Source organism: Homo sapiens, chromosome 2 (genome assembly GCF_000001405.40).
Source record: "Homo sapiens chromosome 2, GRCh38.p14 Primary Assembly".
NCBI lineage: Eukaryota > Metazoa > Chordata > Mammalia > Primates > Hominidae > Homo > Homo sapiens.
The window spans coordinates 231,231,595-231,255,825 of NC_000002.12; the positions used below are offsets into that span (position 1 = coordinate 231,231,595).

General features: G+C 45.7%; 1 protein-coding gene across 10 annotated transcripts in view, besides 1 other annotated feature; it reads left to right on the plus strand.

Moving 5' to 3' along the window:
* ARMC9 (armadillo repeat containing 9) overlaps nt 1-24,231 on the plus strand; it is a 178,218-nt gene that overhangs the window by 32,964 nt on the left and 121,023 nt on the right. For 8 of the 10 annotated variants that reach the window (NR_148040.2, NM_001271466.4, NM_001352754.2 and 5 more), the window contains exons 8-9: nt 3,630-3,787; nt 8,349-8,447. Coding sequence is in view for 9 of the 10 variants with exons in the window: in NM_001271466.4 (NP_001258395.2) it covers nt 3,630-3,787; nt 8,349-8,447 (257 nt within the window). In the remaining variant the exon portion in view is untranslated. The remainder of the gene's footprint in view (nt 1-3,629; nt 3,788-8,348; nt 8,448-24,231) is intronic. The other 2 variants (NM_001352757.2, NM_001352758.2) reach the window with 1 other exon arrangement.
* Nucleotides 14,901-15,619: an enhancer, noted in NCBI's record as "H3K27ac-H3K4me1 hESC enhancer chr2:232111208-232111926 (GRCh37/hg19 assembly coordinates)". NCBI's record gives its function as "activates a minimal SCP1, AML or CMV promoter by ChIP-STARR-seq in primed H9 embryonic stem cells {active_cell/tissue: H9 hESC(primed)}" and the evidence as "EXISTENCE:reporter gene assay evidence [ECO:0000049][PMID:30033119]".

Here is a 24,231-nt window from a genome sequence, read left to right on the forward strand (position 1 = left end):
GCTGGTCTCGAACTCCTGGCTTCAAGCAATTCAATCGCCTTGGCTTCCCAAAGTGCTGGGATTATAGATGTGAGCCACCATGCCCCACCTGAAAAAAAAATTTTTTTTTTTTGAGATGAAGTCTGGCTTTGTCGCCCAGCATGGAGTGCAGTGGCGTGATCTTGGCTCACTGCAACCTCCTGCTCCCGGGTTCAAGCAATTGTCCTGCCTCAGCCTCCCAAGTAGCTGGGATTACAAGAGTGCGCCACCATGCCCTGCTAATTTTTGTATGTTTAGTAGAGACGGGGTTTCCCCGTGTTGGCCAGGCTTGTGTCGAACTCCCGACCTCAGGTGATCTGCCTGCCTTGGCCTCCCAAAATGCTGGGATTACAGGCGTGAGCCACTGTTCCCGGCTGAAAAACTGTAATAATAGCACGAATTTAACACATTCCTTTTTTTTTTTTTTTTTTTGAGACGGAGTCTTGCTCTGTCACCAGGCTGGAGTGCAGTGGTGCAATCTCGGCTCACTACAACCTCCACCTCCCTGGTTCAAGCGATTCTGCTGCCTCAGCCTCCTGAGTAGCTGGGACTACAGGTGTGCGCCACCACGCCCGGCTAATTTTTGTATTTTTTGTAGAGATGGGGTTTCACTATGTTGGCCAGGGTGGTCTTGATCTCTTGACCTCGTGATCCACCCGCCTCGGCCTCCCAAAGTGCTGGGATTACAGGAGTGAGCCACTGCACCTGGCCAAATTTATCACATTCTAAGAGGCAGAAGGTAGTGACCCCCTTTCCCTAATGTTTAAGGAGAATCTTGATAAATGATTTTCAGGGCCATTCTCAGGGGAGTCAAGTACTGGATGTAAATTCATGCCAGGTGACTTTTTTTTTTTTTGAGACGGAGTTTCGCTCTTGTTGCCCTGGCTGGAGTACAATGGCATGATCTCAGCTCACTGCAACCTCCACCTCCCAGGTTCAAGCGATTCTCCTGTGTCAGCCTCCCAAGTAGCTGGGATTACAAGCATGCACCACCACACCTGGCTAATTTTATATTTTTAGTGGAGATGGAGTTTCACCATGTTGGCCAGACTGGTCTTGAACTGCTGACCTCAGGTGATCCACCTGCCTTGGCCTCCCAAAGTGTTGGGATTACAGGTATGAGCCACTGCGCCCGGCCTTTGCCAGGTGACTTTTTAAAGTTATCTTTCAAAACTGAGATTTGTGGATGTTGAATAATAATAATAATTCATTATCATTGATATTTTGGGTTTTTAATTATTTATTTATTTATTTTTGAGACAGAGTCTCACTCTGTCACCCAGGCTGGAGTGCAGTGGCGTGATCTCAGCTCACTGTAACCTCCACCTCCTGGGTTCAAGCGATTCTCCTGCCTCAGCCTACTGAGTAGCTGGGACTACAGGTGCGTGCCTCCACGCCTGGCTAGTTTTTGTATTTTTAGTAGAGACGGGGTTTCACCATGTTGGCCAGGCTGGTCTCGAACTCCTGGTCTCAGGTGATCCACCCGCCTTAGCCTCCCAAAGTGCTGGGATTACAGGCGTGAGCCACCGCACCCAGCTGAAGATATTTTGGGTTTTAATAGTAAAAATATTTTACTTCTGTATATAAACAGTAATCAAACATGAAGGTTTTTGAAATACAATTTGAATGTAGGTTTTTAGAACACAAATTAGGAAGAATGGTTAACTTAGGTTATCTCAAACCTGTGGTGTGCACCAGATCCATTTGAGGAGTTTGTTGACTATATAGACATTCAGACCCCACTCAGTGTCTATAAAATCAGAATCTCTGGGAGTGAGGCCTGATCATCTTTATTTGTGGGTGATTCTGATGTATTTCAGAGCTTGCATGCCACTGCTTTAGGATGGAACCTTTCTGCCACTTTTAAAAGTTATCTACTTGTGGCCGGGTGCGGTGGCTCACACCTGTAATCCCAGCACTTTGGGGGGCCGAGGCAGGTGGATCACCTGAGGTCGGGAGTTCAAGACCAGCCTGACCAACATGAAGAAACCCCGTCTGTACTAAAAATACAAAATTAGCCGGGCATGGTGGCACATGCCTGTAATCCCAGCTACTCGGGAAGCTGAGTCAGGGGAATCGCTTGAACCCGGGAGGCGGAGGTTGCAGTGAGCCGAGATCACGCCATTGCACTCCAGCCTGGGCAACAAGAGCAAAACTCCATCTCAAAAAAAAAAAAAGTTATCCACTTATATAGAAATGTATTTACAAAGTCTTTCACCCCTTTCCATGAAATGAAATAGTAGTAATAGCCACCACTATATAACCTTCTCTAGGTCAGCCATTGTGCTAGGCATGTTGAGTGTCTTTTTTTAAATTTAATCTTCACAATAACCCATCAAAGCAATTATTGTCTCCATTTTATAGGTTAGGAAATGAGAATTACAGAGTTAAATATTTTATCTGTGGTTACCCAGCAAAAAGGTAATAGAGTAGGGATTTGAGCCCAGGTCTTTATAATTTTAAAATATCTCTCCATATCCTTGAAACCTGTTCTACAATGAAGACTTCAAATATTGTACAGTACTTGGATCAGGACAATAGTGAGTTACTCTGGGTTTGGGGGCACTGTTACCTCCTTTCGTCCAAAGTGTGACTTTCAAGAAAGAGGGAAGGTGGTATGGGCAAAGAAGTGCCAACACCGATGAGGATTTGCCTATTCCTGCCGAGACCAGGGTGGCTTGGCTTCAGTGTCTTTAGGGCTGCCCACGGGGGGATTCCAAGCAAAGAATCCTAGAGCCTTCTAAGCTGCTTGCTGTAAGGCCTGGTGGGAGTGGTTTTATGCTTTATCAAACTGGCAGAATGATGGAATCTCTTCTCCTTCTGGATTCTTGTTTTTCCTAGCAGGAGTCAAGCAGCCCAAAGTTTTATTTAAAATAAAGAAGTGTCCTGCAGATATGAATTGTCCCCCAGACAACTTCATAATACAAAAACAGAGAAAAAGACACAGGTTTGATTCAGGCATTTTATGAGCTCAGTATAGAATAAAACATTCTTTTTTTTTGAGACAGAGTCTCACTCTGTTGCCCAGTTGCCCAGGCTGGAGGACAGTGGCGCGATCTTGGCTCACTGCAACTGCTGCCTCCCAGGTTCAAGCGATTCTTGTGCCTCAGCCTCCTGAGTAGCTGGGATTATAGGCGAGCACCACCATGCCTGGCAAATTTTTGTATTTTTTTAGTAGAGATGGGATTTTACCATGTTGCCCAGGCTGGTCTCCAACTCCTGGCCTCAAGTGATCTGCCCGCCTCGGCCTCCCAAAGTGTTGGGATTACAGGCGTGAGCCACCACCAGCCCTAGACATGTTTATTTTCTTAGACCTAGAAGAACTAAAAGAAATTGCATGAGGTTCAGTCAAGGGAATAGATTTTCTTAGGAAGCCCAGTGAGGATTGGGTTGAACTTCCTGAAAAGGAAATTTTAAGTCAGTGTGGTTACAAAGCACTATGTAAATAAATGTGGCATAAAATAGAAGTAAGTGTGAAACACAAGTAGTGTCCAGTTTATTGTTACAAGAAAACATTCTGGCAATAAGTATGGTAGTTCTTTGAGAAGAATACAATTATTTTTCATATTGTGGATTTTTATTGATGTTGTTTGTTTTAACTGTCTTCCTAGAAATCTTGCAGCAGCTCCACCAGCAGCTGGTTGAAGCTGAACGTAGGTCAGTGACATACCTCAAACGGTACAATAAGATCCAGGCCGACTACCACAATCTCATTGGAGTCACAGCAGAGCTGGTGGATTCTCTAGAGGCCACAGTCAGCGGCAAGATGGTAAGGAAGATCCCTAATTGTGTGTATGTCTGTTTGGCAATGAAGAAGGCTTATAGGCATGGACTATGTTGATATGGCAGGTGGAGCCTGCCTCTCTCCATTCCAAGCCAGTGGCGCCTGCTGCTCTATTTCCAAAAGCCAACATGCATGAAGGAGATAAAGCTGATATTTTTTACTGTTTTTATCAAGCTGCTTGCAGTGTTTTACCCATTTTTCTTAACATACTGTCTGCCATATCTTTATTTCTCTACTTTATTCTTTTTTGTTTGTTTGTTTTTGAGATGGAGTTTTGCTCTTGTTGCCCAGGTTGGAGTGCAATGGCGTGATCTCGGCTCACTGCAACCTCCGCCTCCCAGATTCAAGTGATTCTCCTGCCTCAGCCTCCCGAGTAGCTGGGATTACAGGCATGTGCCACCACACCCAGTTAATTTTGCATTTTTAGTAGAGACAGGGTTTCTCCATGTTGGTCAGGCTGGTCTCGAACTCCTGACCTCAGGTGATCCGCCAGCCTTGGCCTCCCAAAGTGCTGGTATTACAAATGTGAGCCACTGCGCCTGGCCCTTTTTAAAAAATATATTTTTCAAATATTGAGACGGGGTCTTGCTTTGTTGCCCAGGCTGATTTTGAACACCTGGGCTCAAGTGATCCTCCCACCTTGGCGTCCCAAAGTCCTGGGGATTACAGGTGTGAGCCATCACACCCAGCCTCTACCTTATTAATATTAGCAAAGGATAAATTGTCTGGCAACAGAAAAATATGTGCTAGCAAAAAAATGAGGGGCACGTGCCCTGCTGTCATATAGGGAAGCCACTGATTTTCTAATATTGGTTTTGTATCCAGCTACCTTTCTGAATCCCATTAATCTTGGGTTTTTTGATTTATTCTTCTGTGTTCTAGATTGACAGTCATGTTACATCAAATAATATTTGTGTTTTGCTTTTAAAATTTATCTTAACTTTTTTTTCTTAGTACATTGGCTATGGCCTATGGGATAGTGTTGAATAATGTCATCATGGGCATCTTTATCTCATTCCTGACTCTATAAAGTACAATAAAATCTATTTGTGGACATACAGATTTTTTAAAAATTGAAGTAACTGTAGATTCACACTGCAGTTATAAAAAATAATTCAGGCCAGGCACAGTGGCTCACGCCTGTAATCCCAGCACTTTGGAAGGCTAAGGCGGGAGGATCACTTGAGGCCAGAAGTTTGAAACTACTCTGGGCAATATGGTGAGACCTCTGTCACTAAAAATATACAATTAAAAATAAAATTAGCCAGGCATGGTGTCTCACACCTGTAATCTCAGCACTTTGGGAGGCTGAGGTGGGCAGATCATCTGAGGTCAGGAGTTCAAGACCAGAGCCCCGGCCAACATGGCGAAACCCCGTCTCTACTAAAAATACAGAAATTTGCCAGGTGTAGTGGAGGACATCTGTAATCCCAGCTACTCGGGAGGCTGAGGCGGGAGGAACTCTTGAACCCGGCTGGCAGAGGTTGCAGTGAGCCAAGATTGTACTCCAGCCTGGGCAACAGCGTGAAACTGTGTCTCAAATAAATAAATTTAATTTAATTTAAAAAAAGATGGGTCAGAGGAGGAAAGCTGGACTCTTTACTAGCCTTTCTAATGTAAAAGAACCGCGTTGTTTTGGTAAAAGATTGAAACAGTTCAGAGAAGCGTGTAGTAAGGAGCAAAAGCTCCTTCACCACAATGCTGTAGATTCATTTCCTTATTGATGTTCAAGACTGACATTGTCTTGTGTATTATTTTAGAACATTTCTCTGCGTATGCGTGTGTGTGTGTGTGTGTGTGTGTGTGTGTGTACACACATGCGTACAGCATTTGTACCCTTAGTTGGGATCATATGATGCATTACTCTTCTGAAACTTGGTATTTCTCTTTCGATATATCTTGGAGATCTTTCCATATGACCAGATCCACCTCATTCTTTTTAATTCTTATACACAATTGCATTATAAGGGTGAATCATTATCAGATCTCTGGTGATGAACATTTAGATTTTTTGTTTTTTTGTTTGCTATAACAAAAAAATGTTGCAGTGAACATCCTTGTGAATACTGTACATCTTGATAAAATTCTAAAAGTGGAATTGCTAGGGCAAAGGTATGGGCATGAGCATTTTGATAGAGGTTGCTAAATTATTCGTCCTAAAATATCAACAATGTCTACTCCCCCAGTAGTGTATGAGAGTGCCTATTTCTCCACACACGGCAACACCAAATAGGACTAAACTTTGAAATCTTTGTCAGTTTGGTAAGTAAAACTTGGCATTCTGCATATTTTAATTTAGATTTCTTTAATTATGTATGAGGCTGAGTATATTTTCATGTATTGTTCTTGGCTATATGTATATATATATATATATATATATATATATTTTTTTTTTTTTTTTTTTTTTTTTTTTTTTTTTGGTCAGTCATCCATTTTCTTTCCTCATTCTCCTGTTTTAAGCAAGAAAGTGACATGATCAGATTGGCTTGTTAGAGAAATGGTTCTGCTAGCAGTTTCAGAAGTTAAAGGAGGAAACAGTTTCAGAACTGAGGGTTTGATCCAAAGTCTCAAAAGCCACAGAAAACTCCAGAAGAAGAGACCTGAAAAGTATCCAGTGTTTTTGACACTTAGAAGCTCACTGGTTGTGAGCTTTGCCACACGAGTTTCCATGGAGGAACGCAGGTGGAAAGTTGGTCACATTGTATTGAAAGTTGAAGGTGGGTTGAGACAGTAAATGCAAGCGGTTCTTTCAAGGACCTTGGCTGTAAAGAGAAGCTGTTGAGAGGGTGATTGATAGATAAGGATCTAGGGTGAAAAAGAAGAAGAAGAAAATCTAGGGTAGAAGACGGGAAAGGTATGTTTTTAATATGAAATATATGTGAACATGTTTCTAGTTGTAGGGAAGGAATAAGTATAGAAAGAAAGGTTAAAAATACAAGATGAAAAAGGTATGTTTTTTTGTTCGTTTGTTTGAGACAGGGTCTCACTCTGTTGTCTAGCTGGAGTGCAGTGGTGCAATCTCAGCTCACTGCAGCCTCGGCCTCCCAGGCTCAAGCCATCCTTTCACCTCAGCCTTCTGAGTAGCTAGGACTACAGGTGTGTGCCACCATGCCTGGCTAATTTTTATTTTATTTTTATTAGAGATGGTATTTCACTATGTTACCCAGGCAAGTCTCAAACTCCTGAGCTCAAGTGATCCGCCTGCCTCAGTCTCCCAAAGTGCTGGGATTACAGGCATGAGCCACTATGCCAGGCCTGAAAAATGAATGTTGAAATTTTAATACTATAGAAATTTACTATAGGAATTCAGAAGGAATGGACTCAGGATAATATAGGAGGTCTAGCCCTGGGATGGGGTTCCTTTTTCTCTGAGTCACTTCACATGTAGCTATGTAACAAAGGGTGACAGACCTCTGCCACAGGATGGACAGAGCCTTTTATGTGGCTGAAGCAGACCAGAAGTTTGTAGCAGATAGGCAGGAGGCCCAGGAGGAGAGAAAAGGGCCCAGCCCTTTCCAGCTCCCCAGGGGTGGAGTAGCCCTGCTTCCCACGCAGTCCTGGGGGATGGCCTTCCTCCCATGCAAGTGGATGAGCAAGGGGTGGGAGAGCAGCCGCTTCTACTGCCATATGGAAGTTCCCCCAGGTGGAATCATGAAGCTGCGGAAGAGGAGACTATTTTCAATTATCATGCCTAGAAAAAAGTGTGGAAGGGTGTACACTTTTTAATAGTCATTATCCGCAGGGATTGGTTTGTGGGGGAAGGGTGGGATTCAGGAGAGGTTGTGGTACTTGTACATTGAAATGAGCATACATTATTTTTTTAAAAAGAAAATAGATGAAAAAAACTCCAAGATGACCACTTTCGATGTTGTATGTCAATCCTGAATTCTCGTAGCTGGTGAGAGAGGCACAAGAGATGCTAAAGGAGAATGCAGGATCCAGCAGCGTTGATGGCGACAGCAGCTCAGCCGCACGTTGTCGAGCACTGGATAGTTGATTAAAAGCGTTTCCATCACTCATTCAGCAAGCACTGGCCAAGCCACCTGTCATGTGCTAGGCATATCTGTGACCTCATTTACCTGCTCACTGTGGCTGTTACAATAAAGGTGTGGAAAGCGAGAGGCAGAGCTGTTGGTCTTCTCGAGTCCAGGACTTGAGCCCTGATCTTCAGTTCTGAAGCTTGGCTCTCTTTCCCCCACATTATGGTTGTCCAGTGACTTTGTTACATGAATTTACCAAAGTGGTTTAGGATCTGTTTATTCTACATGACAGTGGAGATAGCTGAAGTGGAGTCAGTTAATTTGCAGTCTGATGTCTCATGAGCACACCTGCAGTGTGTTAGCACCTTGTTCTGTCAGGGCCGGTACTTTCACTCCTCCCAAGAGCTCTGATGTTAAAGCAAATGATTATTTTTCTGGCTTACATACCTCATCATCATGCCTTACAGAAAGCTGTTGAGAGACCACTCTAACAATTGCCAGCGTGCCTCAGGTGTCCCTCAGTGAGTTTCATGCCATCACCAGATGTCTTTGTATCCTCCTTGCAGATCACCCCTGAGTACCTCCAGAGCGTCTGTGTCCGCCTGTTCAGTAACCAGATGCGGCAGAGCCTGGCGCATAGTGTGGACTTCACGAGGCCTGGGACGGTGAGGCTCTGCGCTCAGGGCAGGGTGCCCGTGGTCTATCCCCCCAAATTTAAAAAGAATGTAACTTTAAAAATAGCATGAAAAAATAACATGCAAGAGGCTGCATTTAAGCTGGCTTTTGAAGTCTAGAAACTCCTAGAAGGAAAATAAATCTGTTTTTGAAGAGGGTACAGCTGAAAGCTGGCCTCCTAGGGAGGGTGAGGAGAGAGGCGTGTTCTGCCTACCAGTTGCAGCCACTCAGTGGGGGTTCCCAGGGTTGGGGATCAGTAGGAGTGGATGGAAACTTTATTCTCCTTTTTTAAAAGCACTGCCATAGTGGAAATTGTGTGGTCTAAAGCAGGGACACTTTTTTTCCCCCTAACTTTTTACTTGGAATAATTGCAAAACTGCAAAAGTAGCACAAAGGACATTGGTATACCCTTCACCCAGAGTCACCCGCTGCTAGCATTGGCCCCTTCCTTTGTTGTGTCTCTACACACAAGTGAACACGCACACATATGCACAAAATCTGTTTTCTGAACTATTTGAGGATAAATTATATATATTATGACTCTTTACTCCTAAATACTTCAGTGTGTATTTCTTAAGGTTAGGAATATTCTCTCATATAACTATACAGTTACCAACTTCAGTAAATTTAACATTGATACAGCCTTCTTATCTACCGTCCATTTTCCAATTTTGGTAGTTGAGTCAATAATGTCCTTCACTGCATTTCCCGTCCTCTGGTCATCTAGGGTCAATTGTCACATTGAGTTGGCACAGCTCTTAGCCTCTTCTAATCTTGAACATTTCCTCAGCCTTTCTTTGAGTTACATGACATTAACATGTTAGAAGAATATAATTTTCCCCCTTTAAAAAAAATAGAACATTTTGCTGGGTGCGGTGGCTCACACCTGTAATATTCCAGCACTTTGGGAGGCCAAGGCGGGTGGATCACGAGGTCAGGAGTTCCAGACCAGCCTGGCCAACATGGTGAAACCCCATCTCTACTAAACATACAAAAATTAGCCAAGCGTGGTGGTGGGCACCTGTAGTCCCAGCTACTTGGGAGGCTGAGGCAGGAGAATCGCTTGAACCCGGGAGGCAGAGGTTGCAGTGAGCTGAGATTGTGCCATTGCACTCCAGCCTGGGGGACAAGAGCAAGACTTAGTCTCAAAAAAAAAAAAAAAAAATAGAACATTTCTCCTTTTGTGTTTGATATTTCCTTATAATTAGATTCGGGTTATGCATCCCTGAATCACCTAGGCCAAATACGACGTCGGTGATCGTGTGTCCTCCTTAGACTAGCACACCTGAAGGCCCATGGTTTTGAGGCAGGCATTCTTAACCAGGAGAGACACTGTTGTCTCTCAAAGTCTTCAAAGTACAGGAACCCACGGGCCAGGAGCTCACACCAACCTGCTGCCCCATTCACAGGCTGCGTGGGTGAAGCCCTGTGAAGCCAGCTGTATAGATTTGGAATGAGGCTCCTGTGTGATCCTGAGACAGCCCTGTGGGTCAGAGCCACAGCTTTTAAGTGAGGGTTTGCACATTAATATAGTATTAGAGTCTTAATAAACAGAAGCCTTTCTTTTAGTATTTAAAAGAAAATTTATACCCTACCTAATTCTCAAGTAGATTTGAAGAAGTTTATTATAATATGAGAAAACATAAATATGAGAAACGAGAAGGTAGAAAATAAAAATAAGTAAAGCAGTTGTGGTTAAGGGAAAATAAGGGTGGAAAAAATAAAAGTCAGCAAGGGCTAAGGCTGGTACAAAAAATGCATATGCTGTGAGCTGCCTCTCCGGAGAGGCAGGCTGCAGACTGGGCTCTGAGCTTTCCAGCAGTCTGTGCAAAAAGGGAAACAGGAGCAGTTACATGATTCCCAGTGCTTATAAAGCAGGAGAGGGCAGTTACATAACTTTTATTATGTAATATTTCCTGCATCCAAAACAACATATGTGCTGCATATGCAGGCTAGGAACCATGACAATAAAACAAACACCCACAAGTCCGCCACATGTGGCTGAAATAGACCATTTCAGTGCTGCTAAAGTTTTCTACCCTTCAGGCTTCTTCCAAGTAGGTGTGTTACTTATGTAATTTAAAAACAAGTTCAAATGCTTTTTTTTTTTTTTTTAAACTGGATGGTCAGACAACTGCTTCACACAGTTATTCCTGGTGCTAAGACCCGGGATAATCTCTTGGGTCAGCAGTTTGTATGGATCTTCATAGAAGGCACGTAGTCATGTGCTGAAGAGCAGGCGGCCTTGACCACTTCCTCTCAGCCTAACAAATATCTCAGAATGGCTGGCTGTCAGCTGTTCCACACACGTGGACAGACAGATGGTAGAAGCGGAGTCTTTGGGACATGGCCACAGTGATTTTAGTGTGCCAAAATCTTAGAGAATCAGCCATTTTTAAAAGGTCAGTAAAGTCACCATTGGATATGCAAGTCTTAGAAAAGTAACTTCCTCATGAGCCCCTCAGAAGAAGGACTTGAAGCCACATCCCCGAGAATATGGCTGACCCTCTGTCCACTGTCCAGTTAACATTCGGACAGTTAGGAAGCAGAGTGTGCTTACCAAAACTGTGGCTTTCTCATAGCAATTAGCATGACAGGGTCTGTCTACTAGGAGCACTCCTTTCTTCCTCCTTCCCATTTATTTGTTAATTCATCAAAGACTTAGTGTTTTCTAGGTTCAGTTTATAAAATCCCATTATATCTTATATATACCAGCCATCCTTACATTCCCATCTTCTATAGGAGGAGTGATGTATCCAGTTTATTTAAAACTGATGTTGGTCAGGCATGGTGGCGCACACCTGTAATCCCAACACTGGTAGTCCAAGGCAGGCAGATTGCTTGAGCCCAGGAGTTCGAGGCCAGTCTGGGCAACATGGTGAAAACCCATCTCCACAAAAAATACAAAAATTAGGCCAGGCGTGGTGGCTCACGCCTGTAATCCCAGCACTTTGGGAGGCCGAGGCGGGCAGATGACAAGGTCAGGAGATCGAGACCATCCTGGCTAACATGGTGAAACCCTGTCTCTACTAAAAATACAAAAAAATTAGCTGGGCATGGTTGCGGGCACCTGTAGTCCCAGCTACTTGGGAGGCTGAGGCAGAAGAATGGCATGAACCCGGGAGGCGGAGCTTGCAGTGAGCTGAGATCACGCCACTGCACTCCAGCCTGGGTGACAGAGCAAGACTCCGTCTCAAAAAAAAAAAAAAAAATTAGTTGGGCTTGGTGGTGCGTGGCTGTAGCCCCAGCTACTCAGGAGCCTGAGGTGGGAGGATCACTTGAGCCCAGGAGGTTGAGGCTACAGCAAGAGGAGATCGCACCACTGCACTCCAGCCTGGGTGACAGAGTGAGAGCCTGTCTCAAAAGAAAGAAAAAACTGATGACATGTTATTAAGCACGGTTTAAAAAGGAGCAGGGGTACAACACAGCTGGTTATCCCACAAGAAGTTATCAATACCATCTGTCAGGAGACAGTCCTACCACCCCGACTGTTATGTTAGCAGCAAAATACAGACTTTGTCTAACCACTGGAAACCAGAGGAGGGAGGATGAGTTATGTTTAGCTTAGTGATAACCATTCTCCTTCTACTGAATCATTGGCTTAGGAACACGCAATAAAAGCTGCAAAAGCCTTTTACTGTTTCTAGCCGATTTCTTTAACAAGATGATAAAAAGCGTATGGGGGGTCATTGTCAAAGTATAAGAGAGTATTGTTGTTGACTAGACATGCATATATAAAGTTGATTTATGATATGTGTCTCGAGTTCAGATTTACAATGTGTGAAGAAGGAAATTAAGAAACAGTTTAGATGCAATGTCCAGTGACTGGACTGATAGGATTTAGGATTTGGAAGGAGAAGAAGATTGCTTGCTTTTTTGCTGATTTTTTTAAAGGGATAAATTCTACTCTAGGGCCCAACAGAAGGCCATCAATTTCAAAATAAGTACGTGGCACAGATCAGCGTCCTTCATAGAGCGGTCTTGGGTCAGCTCGCCGTCAGGTGCTCTGTTGAGCTTGAGTGTTACTGCTAATTACATTCTGTAAAGGAGCTTGGGCTGGGCCCTTTCACAAAACCGTTGATGTCTATAAAGTTTGGTACACTTGATACTGGTTTTTATATCTGGCAGTTAACAAGAATCTGGGCTTCTACCAACTTACTCACTGTTAAAAATTCAAAAGGGCCCATTAAATCGAGCCCTTCTTTCCCCCTGAGTTCTGAACTGGTTGAAAAATAGGACAAAAGAGTAAAGGAAAAAGGAGCTGAAAATATCACTGTTGGTACTGACAAAGCTTATATTGGAGAATGTGGATCTTTTTTTTTTTTTTTTTTTTGAGACAGGGTCTCGCTCTGTTACCCAGGCTGGAGTGCATTGGCACGATCAGGGCCTCTGCTGCCTTGACCTCCTGGGATCAAGTGGTCCTCCCACCTCAGCTTCCTGAATAGCTGGGACTATGGGCCTGCACCACCATGCCCAGCTAATTTTTATTTTTTATTTTTGTAGAGATGAGGTCTCACTATGTTGCCCAGGCTGGTCTCAAACTCCTGGGCTCAAGCAGTCCTCCCACTTTGGCCTCCCAAAATGCTGGGATTACAGGTGTGAGCCACCACACCTGGCTGAGAATGTGGATTTTGTTTGCAGGCAGGTGGGGTCCTACTCTTGTGCCTGGGAATTACGGAAGCATTCTTGCACAGCCCTGGACAGCTCTGGCCAAGCCTAGCCCGCTGCCATTGCTGTGGCCACCATGAGGGCGGCATGGAGGAGCGGAGTTGACACGTCTTCTCTGGTGGGCTCTGCCCAAAGCAGAAGAGGACAGGCAGGGCAGTGATGCCCAGGTCTGCCCCCAGCCTCACAAGTCCTGTTAGTCACCGCCTCTCTGGAGAGGAAGTCTCCCACTGACAGAGCAGCTCACGGTAGAAACACCACAAGAGGAAAGAAGTGAGGTTCTGCCCTCACCTAGTTCACACCCAGGTAGCTGTGTTCAGAAAGCTGCCCGTGTTATCGAAGCTGGCACAGGTGTCTAGGCACTCCCAGAGGGTTTATAAGGACGGTATTCATTTCTTTGAGGCGAGAGCTGTCCCAGGTGGCCTTTTTAGTTTGACTCCGCGTATTGCTGCTCCCACCCATTTGTCTTTCTGTAGTCCTTACCTTATCAGAGCCTGTGGCTTGCTGGGATATGGGAGAAATCAGATTTTATATTATCATCAACTTAGTGATAAGAAGTAAGGGAGAAAGTTATCCCTCAGGGCACAAGAGGCTGAGTTTTTTGTTTTCTAAGATTACGCAAGTCACGCGGGTGTGTTCGTTTGCAGGGAACGCAGTGCTAGGCTGTTCCTGGATGACAGTCTGCTGTCGGGGTTTCACCCATGGCAGAGCAGCTCCCTGGCTGTGATCTATTGAAAGTCAGCCCTGGGCAGAAGGGGTTAGTGTTAGGGTTAGGGCTAGCGTTACACAAATATGTTAGCTAGAAAGTATACCATTTTATCTGTAAATGAAGGAAAACCCATCCCCTCCCTTCGCTCAGCGCATCCTGCCCTCCCGTGGGAACCTGTTGCCTGTGTTTCATATGCGTCCTTCTAGAGCCTTGAAGTATATATCATTAACTTTTACTTGTGTGTATATTTTCTTTATCTTCTAGAGTTCTAATTTGAGAACGGCATTCCTCTATCAGACATTTAGGTGGCTTTTCTGTTTTCTGCTGTTTGTAATGGTGTAGTATGCATTTTCCCTGCCAAGAGCAGTTGAAAGTGCCTTGGTTGGTCTTTCTCTTCTTCACCCCCTGTTCCCCCTGGGCAAATGTGAATGCAGAGACACTGGAGAAAAGGTATGCCACGAGAGGGGGCTGTTCCACCCACACCAAGCCTGTTCCACCCACACCAAGCCTCTGCCCTAAGAGCAGGAGTGGGTAGAAGGCAGGCTGACCAGGAGACAGAATCTGGTGCCAACTCCTAAGGTAGAAATTCGAGCTCCTGCCCCCTGGATGAGTCCCAAGTCTGACCTAGTGGCACCTCTGGGTTTCTGGATTCCTTGGATGGGGAGGTTTCCATTTAAATGCATCCTTATTTAGAAAGATGCCCATTTGAGAATTAATGCTCTTTTTCTTCAACAACTCCAGATAAGGCCCCATTGGAAATAAAAGTCAAAACACTTTATTTATTTGGCTTTTATTTTAGGCTCAGCAGGTACATGTGCAGGTTTGTTACATGAGTAAATTACATGTCACTGGGATTTGGCATACAGATGATCTCATCACCCAGGTAGTGAGCATAATCCTGAGAGTTAGTTTTTCAAACCTTGCCCCTCCTACCCTCCCCCGCCAATAGTTCCCAGTATCTGTTATTCTGATCTTTGTGTCCTTGAGTGCTCAGTGTTTAGCTTCCACTTAGAAGTAAGAGCGTGTGGTGTTAGGTTTTCTTTTCCTGTGTTAATTTGCTTAGGATGATGGCCTCCAGCTGCATCCATGTTGCTACAAAGGACATGCTTTTGTTCTTTTTTATGGTTTCGTAGTATTCCATTGTATATGTGTACCACATTTTCCTTATCCAGTTCACTGCTGATGGGCACCCGGATTGATTCCATGTCTTTGCTATTGTGAATAGTGCTGCCATGAACATATGAGTACGTGTGTCTTTTTGGTAGAACGATTTATTTTCCTTTCAGTATAGAATTGCTGGGTCAAATGGTAGTTCTGTTTGAAGTTCTTGAGAAACCTCCAAACTGCTTTTCACAGTGGCTAATTTACATTCCCACGAACACATACAGAGCTTTTTTTGTTTTTGTTTTTGAGACAAGGCCTTGCTTTGTCGCCCAGGCTCACTGCAGCTTCGACCTCCTGGGCTCAGGTGCTCCTCCCACCTCAGTCTCCCAAGCAGCTGGGACTACAGATACATGTCACCACACTTGGCTAATTTTTTTTTTTTTTTAAGACCGAGTCTCGCTCCATCACCAGGCTGGAGTGCAGTGGCACGGTCTTGGCTCACTGCCAGCTCCGCCTCCCGGGTTCATGCCATTCTCCTGCCTCAGCCTCCCGAGTAGCTGGGACTACAGGCTCCCGCCACCATGCCCTGCTAATTTTTTGTATTTTTAGTAGAGACGAGGTTTCACCGTGTTAGCCAGGATGGTCTCGATCTCTTGACCTCGTGATCCACCTGCCTCGGCCTCCCAAAGTGCTGGGATTATAAGCGTGAGCCAACATGCCCAACCTTTTGATTTTAATTTGCATTAAAATGGTTTTGATTTTGTGATAGAGACTATAGCATTAAATGTAAAAAGACCCAGGACATGTGGCTCTTATAAGGCACCTGCTTCCACCTCAGCCATCTTTGTCAGCAGCTTCCTGCTATGTGGCTTGTGGCTCTGGCTTGAAGCTCAGCATCTTCAGCCCTTGCCTTCTCCCCAGTGTGATTTTCTTACATCTTGGCAAATGCCTACGCTTTCCCCACATTGCTGCCATGTGTCCAGGCCATCTTCCTTGGTGCAATGCCCTGTGTATTGAGGAGTCTCCCAACCAGCACCCCTGACCCTGCTATACCTCGTATACCAATGCCTGTTGCATACCCAGACCAACCTGGTGATGAGAGGGTTTAACACCTTTGTAGGCCGGGTGCAGTGGCTCACGCCTGTAATCCCAGCACTTTGGGAGGCCGAGGCAGGCAGATTACTTGAGGTCAGGAGTTTGAGACCAGCCTGGCCAGCATGACAAAACCCCGTCTCTACTAAAAATACAAAAATTAGCCGAGCGTGGTGGCACACACCTGTAATCCCAGCTACTTGGGAGACTGAGGCACGAGAATCACTTGAACCTGGGAGGCAGAGGTTGCAGTGAACTGAGATCACGCCATTGCACTCCAGCCTGGGCAACAGAGCAAGACTCTGTCTCAAAAAATAAAGCACCTTTGTATTAATATCTCAACCAGTGAGTTAGAGCTGTGACCAGCCATCAGCTGAGACCTTTCTCGAGCTCCAAACCCAGACTTCTGGCCTCCCCATGAATGCCTGACAGCTTCACCAGATTTGTGTCCAAATCGGGCTCAACTTTTCCTCCACACAGGTGGTCTCCCCTCCTGAATTTCCTGTCTCAGTGAAAGACACTCCAGGGAACACCTGGGAAGCGTCTGAGGTTTTTCTCTGTCCTTTGCCTGGTAATGGGATCTGCAAGAGCTTCCTCCCTCCCTGCCCACATTGCTGTTGTTTTTGTGTTTGTTCAGGCTCTCCATAGTTCCCTCTTGGCTTAATGTCACATTTCCTAACTGGTCTTAAAGCTCTTACCTTACTGATTATTTGTCACATGGGATCTGAAGTGGCCTTTCTGGTTGTGTCTTGTTTATTTGTACCCTTCATGTTCCAGGAAGGACTCAGGTGTCTTACAGGCATCCGATCATATTACTATCTTGCTCAACACCGTTATCACCTTAGGGTGAAGTGGTTTTCATCTCTTTTAACGTGCAAGTGCCCCTTCTCGTTAAAAAGCTGGCAGGGCCGGACGTGGTGGCTTACACGTGTAATCCCAGCCTTTGGGAGGCCGAGGCGGGCGGATCATGAGGTCAGGAGTTCGAGACCAGCCTGACCAACATGGTGAAACCCCGTCTCTACTAAAAATACAAAAATTAGCCAGGCGTGGTGGCGCACACCTATAATCCTAGCTACTCAGGAGGCTGAGGCAGAAGAATCGCTTGAACCCGGGAGGCGGAGGTTGCAGTTAGCCGAGATCATGCTGCTGCATTCCAGCCTGGGCAACAGAACGAGGTTCTGTCTCAAAAAAAAAAAAAAAAAAAAAAAAAAAGCTGGCCATAGCAGCCCCTTCCGCATCTGATGGGGATGTGCCTCTGGCTTGGGCCTCCATCGCCTGCCCAGTCCCCTGGCTGAGATATTGCCTCAAGGGTTCCATTGTGGGCATTTGAACCTCTGTTGAGTTCAAGGGGCCCTACATTCCTTACCCACGTGCATCCTGCACAGCCTGCCCAGCCACAGTGCTCTGTTAGTCCAGGTGAGTAGGGAGAGAAGAAGGGGTTGGCAGAAATGGCCTCATCTTCAGGGGCTCACTGGTAGCCTCTCCTGGGGTCTGGCCCCCAAACTTACTTTCTGCCCCTCACTGGCCCGCGCACCCCTGCCCCATCCTGCTGCTGTCTCTACTTAGAGCAGCGTTTTCCAAAGCCTGTGCCCGCAAATGCCCATCCCGCAGGATTTCCCTGCCCCACAGCCAAACAGCCTGGGAGTTAATAAGCTTGTGAACTGCCATCCAGTGAGATTCCCAGCACAGCAGTACACAGGAGACTCCCGAGAAGTCCCGCGGGAGAACTGCTACCCCTGCTGAGTCCAGTCAGTCTCCAGTTAGATCGGACCCAGGAACACTTTCCTTACCTTACACCTCCTGCTGGTTTGTCTTAGAAAGTCCCCATCCTGCTAGTCACCAAGAGCTGTCCCAGGCTTGGTGTGGCCCCACTGCCCACCTCCCCACATCCTGACACCAGCTAGGGAGAGCAGCTGCTCTGGGAGGCAGGCCCCAGGTCTTCCTGGGGCTGAGAAGGGATGGATGGGGGCAGAAATGCAGCTGTTTCAGCTTGGCTTAGGTAGGCATTTATTTTTCCTACCCAAAGGTTCCAGAGAACCTAGAAGGGAGCCTGGCACGGGGCAAGTGCTCAGTGAATAATTGATGGGTTACTACATTAGTTGTTCCACTGTTCTTCACCTGCATCCTAAAAAGGGTTGCGCCTGCATTTGACCCAGACATCTTCAGATGGGAGCATACCACCCACCCGTGCACACCTCCACGGGAGGGAGACCACCGCCCACCCGTGCACACCTCCACGGGAGGGAGACCACCGCCCACCCGTGCACACCTCCACGGGAGGGAGACCACCGCCCACCCGTGCACACCTCCACGGGAGGGAGACCACCGCCCACCCGTGCACACCTCCACGGGAGGGAGACCACCGCCCACCCGTGCACACCTCCACGGGAGGGAGACCACCACGTGCATTTGCAGGTCCACTGTGATTGGGAGCACAGTCCTTTTTCTGATGCCCCAGGCCTGCCAGGCCTTTCCCTGAGCTCTCAGCCTGAAATCCTAGAAATGAGACAGCACTCACTTGGGCTGGAGTGGGCTGGAGTCAGAGCCTCCGTAGCAGGTGGAGTCCACCCCGTGTTCAGAACCCATTGTTAGCTCAGTGAGGGAAATTTTTCTGACTGGTGATTGGTGATTCTGACTGTGTTGGATGGTTTGGGGCTTGTGATTGTTGATGTCTTTGTTGTAGGGCTGTCTGTTGCACTGTAGGTTGGTTAGCAGCATTCTTGGCCGTCCTCCATTAGATGCCAGTAGCACTACTCCCGCTATTAACAACCCAAAATGTCTCCAGACATTGCCACATATCCCCTATGGGCAAAACCACTCCCAGCTGAGAAGCACTAGAGGGAAAGGAAACATGGCTAGTGCACAGTGTGGAAAATGCTGCCACTCACACTGCAGAGAACGCAGGGGATGCTGAGGAAAATCAGTGCCGGCCCATGCTCCCAGAGGGGAGGGTAGACGGTGATGCTGGAAATGGTCCCTGAGAGCATGGAAGGCCAGGGAAGATCGGAGCTATCTTGGAGGATGGGGGGTGAAGGAGGCCGAAGAGAGTGAGGGGCTGCCAGGGAGAGGAGCTGGTGACTAAAGCCTTGCGGGGGCCTGGGTTGAGGCTGAGCAGATGCGATTTTTACAAAGACCCCTGTGTTGAGTGTGGAAGGAGGGCTGGAGGAGAGACCTGAAGCAGGGGAGTGGGCAGAGCAAATGTGGACTTTGGGACCCGACTGCCTGATTAGATTCTTGTTCTAGGGGAAGTTGCTCAGTCCCTGTGTTTGCTGATCTGAAAGTGGAAATGGCAGTGCATGAAATGAGTTAATATGTGTAAAGTTCCTACAGTGGCATGCCTGGTGACTAGTGAGCCCTCAGTAAATGTCAGTGAGTACATCCTTATTAAGCTAAGGTGGTAGTTCAGAGGAGAGAAGAAGTCCTGAATGGAGCCCCTGGCATGGGGATTGGAGAGAAGGTAGCAGCTGTGGGATGGAATCAGTAGGACCTGATACTTTGGGAGATGTAGAGAGTGAAGAGGCCACTTTTTTCTTTTCTTTTTCTGTTTCTTTTCCTTTTTTTTTGAGATGGAGTCTGGCTCTGTCACCCAGGCTGGAGTGCAGTGGTGCAATCTTGGCTCACTGCAACCTCCGCCTCCCGGATTCAAGCGATTCTCCTGCCTCGGCCTCCCAAGTAGCTGGGACTACAGGTGCCCGCCACCACACCTGGCTAATTTTTGTATTTTTAGTAGAGATGGGGTTTCACCATATTCGCCAGGCTAGTCTCAAACACCTGACCTTGTGATTCACCTGCCTCAGCCTCCCAAAGTGCTGGGATGACAGATGTGAGCCACTGCACCCGGCCTGGCCACTCTTAACTAATTTAATTCCTTAACAATCCTGTGAGGTAGGTACTGCTGGTGCCACCATTATGCAGATGAGGAAACTGAGGCGTGGGGAGTTATTCGGTCATTTATCCTCCTCATTGGATTGTGAGTGCTCTGAGAAGGGCATTTGCTTTCTTCACTGCGTATCACTAGCGCATAGCAGAGACCTGGCTGATGGGGGCAGTCAGTAGGTATGCTTTGCTTGCCAAATGCATGAAATACTGCAGCCTTCTCTCCTTATTTTATTATTTTTTTTTGAGACAGGGTCTTGCTCTGTCACCAAGGCTGCACCGCAGTGGTACAATCATAGCTCACTGCAGCCTCAACCTCCTGGGCTCAGGTGATCCTTCCACCTCAGCCTCCCGAGTAGCTGGGACTACAGGTGTGCACCACCACACCTGGCTAATTTTTACTTTTTGTTGAGATGAGTCTCACTGTGTTGCCTGGCTGGCCTTCTCTCATTGAGAGCATGCTGAGCCACTCCTTCTACAGCCATCTCCAGCTTTGTTTATTTTATTAGATACTAAAGTTGTAATAATGTTTATCAGACTGGCTGTACTCATGAAAGGGCCAATTATTACTGCTTTTCAACCAGTTTCTTCACAGGGCAAATAGAATGATAGAGAGTTTAGCAAAAGAGTGTTTTAAAAGGTAGAAAACGTTTTTTGGCTACGGAAAAAGGAGAATGTTGATAAATTTCATTTGTGGAAATAACCAGCCAATATCACTAATTATCAAGTATTTTTCTTTATATATTATGGTAATATTTTATTTATTTTTGAGACAGAGCTTTGCTCTTGTCACCCAGGCTGGAATGCAATGGCACGATCTCGGCTCACTGCAACCTCTGCCTCACTGATTCAAGCAATTCTCCTTCCGCAGCCTCCCAAGTAGCTGGGATTACAGGCGCCCGCCACCATGCCCAGCTAATTTTTGTACTTTTAGTGGAGACGGGGTTTCACCATGTTGGTCAGGCTGGTCTCGAACTCCTGACCTCAAGTGATCCACCCACCTCGGCCTCCCAAAGTACTGGGATTACAGGCATGAGCCACCGCTCCCAGCCATGCTAATATTTTAGTATGGCCATGTCCTTACTTGACCCGTCTGACTTGTTATCTTAGCTTCTTGGTCTCTGTAAGGTGTTAGGTGAATAATTTTTTTCTTTTTTGATACAGGGTCTCACTCTGTTGCCCAGGCTGGAGTGCAATGGTGTGATCTTAGCTCACTGCAGCCTCAACCTCCCAGGCTCAAGCAATCCTCCCACCTCAGCCTCTTGAGTAGCTGGGACCACAGGCACGTGCCATCACAACCCCCTAATTTTTTTTTTTTTTTTTGTAGAGATAGGGTTTCATCATGTTGCTCTGGCTGGTCTCAAACTCCTGGGCTCAAGTGATCCTCCTGCCTCAGCCTCCCAAAGTGTTGGGAGTACAGGCGTGAACGGCTATGCCCAGCTAGATGAATAATTTAGATGACATTTCAAACTTATTTTCTAAACTCACTATTTAAGCCAACAACAGGAATAGGTAATTTCTTTATTAAAACAATCAAGGGTTAAAAAGTATAAAAACATACATGCATGGTCTGAGCCACTTTTTTAATTTTAGTTTTTATTTTCATTGTTTTTTGTTTTTGTTTTTGTTTTTGTTTTTGTGTTTTGAGATGGAGTCTTGGTCTGTCACCCAGGCTGGAGTGCAGTGGTGTGATCGCAGCTCAGTCTCCTGTGTTCAAGCGATTCTCCTGCCTCAGCCTCCTGAGTAGCTGGGACTACAGGTTTGTGCCACCACGCCCAGCTAATTTTTTGTATTTTTAGTAGAGATGGAGTGTCACCATGTTGGCCAGGCTGGTCTTGAACTCCTGACCTCAAGTGATTTGCCTGCCTCGGCCTCCCAAAGTGCTGGGTTTACAGGCCGGGGCCACTGTGCCTGGCTGATCTGAGCCATGTAAAAGTGGTGTTTGGCTGGGCGCGGTTTGGCTGGGTTGAACCCAGTAGGCGGAGGTTGCAGTGAGCTGAGGTCATGCCACTGTACTCCAGCCTGGGAGACAGAGTGAGACTGTGTCTCAAAAAAAAGAAAAAAAAATGTTATGGACCAGAGTTGGGCTTCTCCAAGTTTATTGTGCAGGCATGTCCGCTGGGGACCTGGCTGAAGTGCAGGTTCTGGTTCAGGAAGTCTGGGATGGGACCCAAAATTCTGCATTTCCAATGAGAGCTGGATGATGCTGCTTGTCTGAGGAGCACACTTTGAGTAGCAGGGGGCTGCAGAGTCCAGAAACAAACCTAAGGATAGATGTATACCTAGCAGACAACAGAGGTAGGAAAGGGGTGGTTTATTTCATGGGTCACGGAGTCAGATGCTGTCAGGGCTAGGAAGTGTGTAAAGCAGCTGGTGTCAGGCTGTAGGGAGCTCTGGGGCCTGAAGATGATGTTCCTTCCACCTTAGTGTTCACATTCTAATTTAAAAAGGAAGAACAAAAAGGAGGTGAAGAAAAAGATAGGGAGGAAGCAAGACTTACTGATGGAAGCATTTTGAGGTGATGTTGGATGGCCTGGGTGGGACTTACATGACGCAGCACAGCTGGCTCTCGGGGAACAACAAAACAAAGTTGCATGCCTCATTCACACCACAGAGGAAAATACAGTAGCATGAATTCCAGAAGGATGAAATCTCTAAATGTAAAAAATAAAGCTATGAAAATGTTAGAAGAATTGAGAGAATGTGTGTATCATCTTGAGGTAGGGTAGACCTTCTTAAGCAAGACTGAAATCCATGAAAACAATCTGGTATCACATAAGGCATGAAGGCAAAGTCAAAAAGCAGGTAATGTCTATGAAAAATAATGGCCAATATCACTAAAGTTTAAGAAAGTAAACTCTTTTCTACCCTTCGAATTGATGGAAGTTTTAGAGTGATAGGCTCCAGTACTGATAACGAAAAAGGAAAGCTTTCCTTCAGTGCGGGGTGTCTGGCAATGTTTATCAGAATTGAAAATCACATACCCTTTGATCTAGATTTTGGAAGTCTAGCTTAGCTCATAAAACAAAATATCAGTAAGTACAAGCATGGTGGCGCACACCCGTAATCCCAGCTACTCTGGAGGCTGAGGCAGGAGGATTGCTTGAGCCCAGGAGTTCAAGACCAGTCTGGGCAATATAGTGAGACCCTATCTATAAAAAAAAAAAAAATTGAAAAAAATTGAAAAAAATTGAAAAAAATTTAAGTATCATTAACTGACAATAAGATTTTTAACAAGGCTTCTGTAATTTCATGCACACAGGGGAGAATCATAAAATGGATCCCCAAGTGCCCATCACCCAGCTTCAGCAATAAATGGCATTTCACTAATCTTGCTTGCTTTCTTCTCCTCTACTTATTCCCTGCCCCCACCCTGGAGTTCTTTAAAAGCCAATTCCAAACATGTCATGTCACCTGTAAATCATTCAATATACATTTCTAACTGATCAGAGGCTTTAATATACAAGCACATAGCCACAACACCAAATACAGTTAACACTAATTCCTTAGTATCTAATACCAGTCCACTCCATATTCAAGATTTTCCTTATTTTCTCAAAATATCTTTTTACAGTTGGTTTATTTGAGTCAGTTCAAACAAGCACTACACACTGTATCTGCTTATATGTTTCTCAGATGTATTTTAGTACATAATACAGCACTACCTGTAGTGGCAAAAAGAAACACACACACACACACACACACACACACACACACACACACAAAATAAATGGGACAAGAATCTCCGTAAAGTAGGTGATGATTTTGCCTATGGACAGGATCAGGATTAAAAGAGAGTGGGGTGGAAGAGGGGTTGTTAATGTTTTTTAAACACGTGTAGAAAATGTTTGACTTGGTACAAAGTGCACATTTTTATACTTGAAGAGAAAATCTTAATAAAGAAAAAAACCAGAATAATATAATGATTCATATTGCTTTTGTTCTTCACAATGTATTTAACTAGGCAGTTTGAAATGCCCCTGGGAGTTTGGTCAGGGAGAACCCATCGTTTTCCATAGAGGATTTTTTTTTGTTTGGTTGTTTTTGTTTTTTTTCTAAAGAAAATAAAGGAATCAAAGAATGGTTACTCCGTAGGCAGAGCAGCCTCTAGAGTTTTTCTTGGAGTGGTGTAACATCAAACCAGGGCTGGGTAGGCTGTGAGCTGGATTAGTGGTGTGTAACTTTAGTTTGGGTTGATTTTTACATCGTATGTGACTTTGGTTGGTGAATCCTGGTGGATTAAAACTTTGCACATCTGGGCCAGGCGCAGTGGCTCACGCCTGTAATCCCAACACTTTGGGAGGCCGAGGTGGGCGGATCACGAGGTC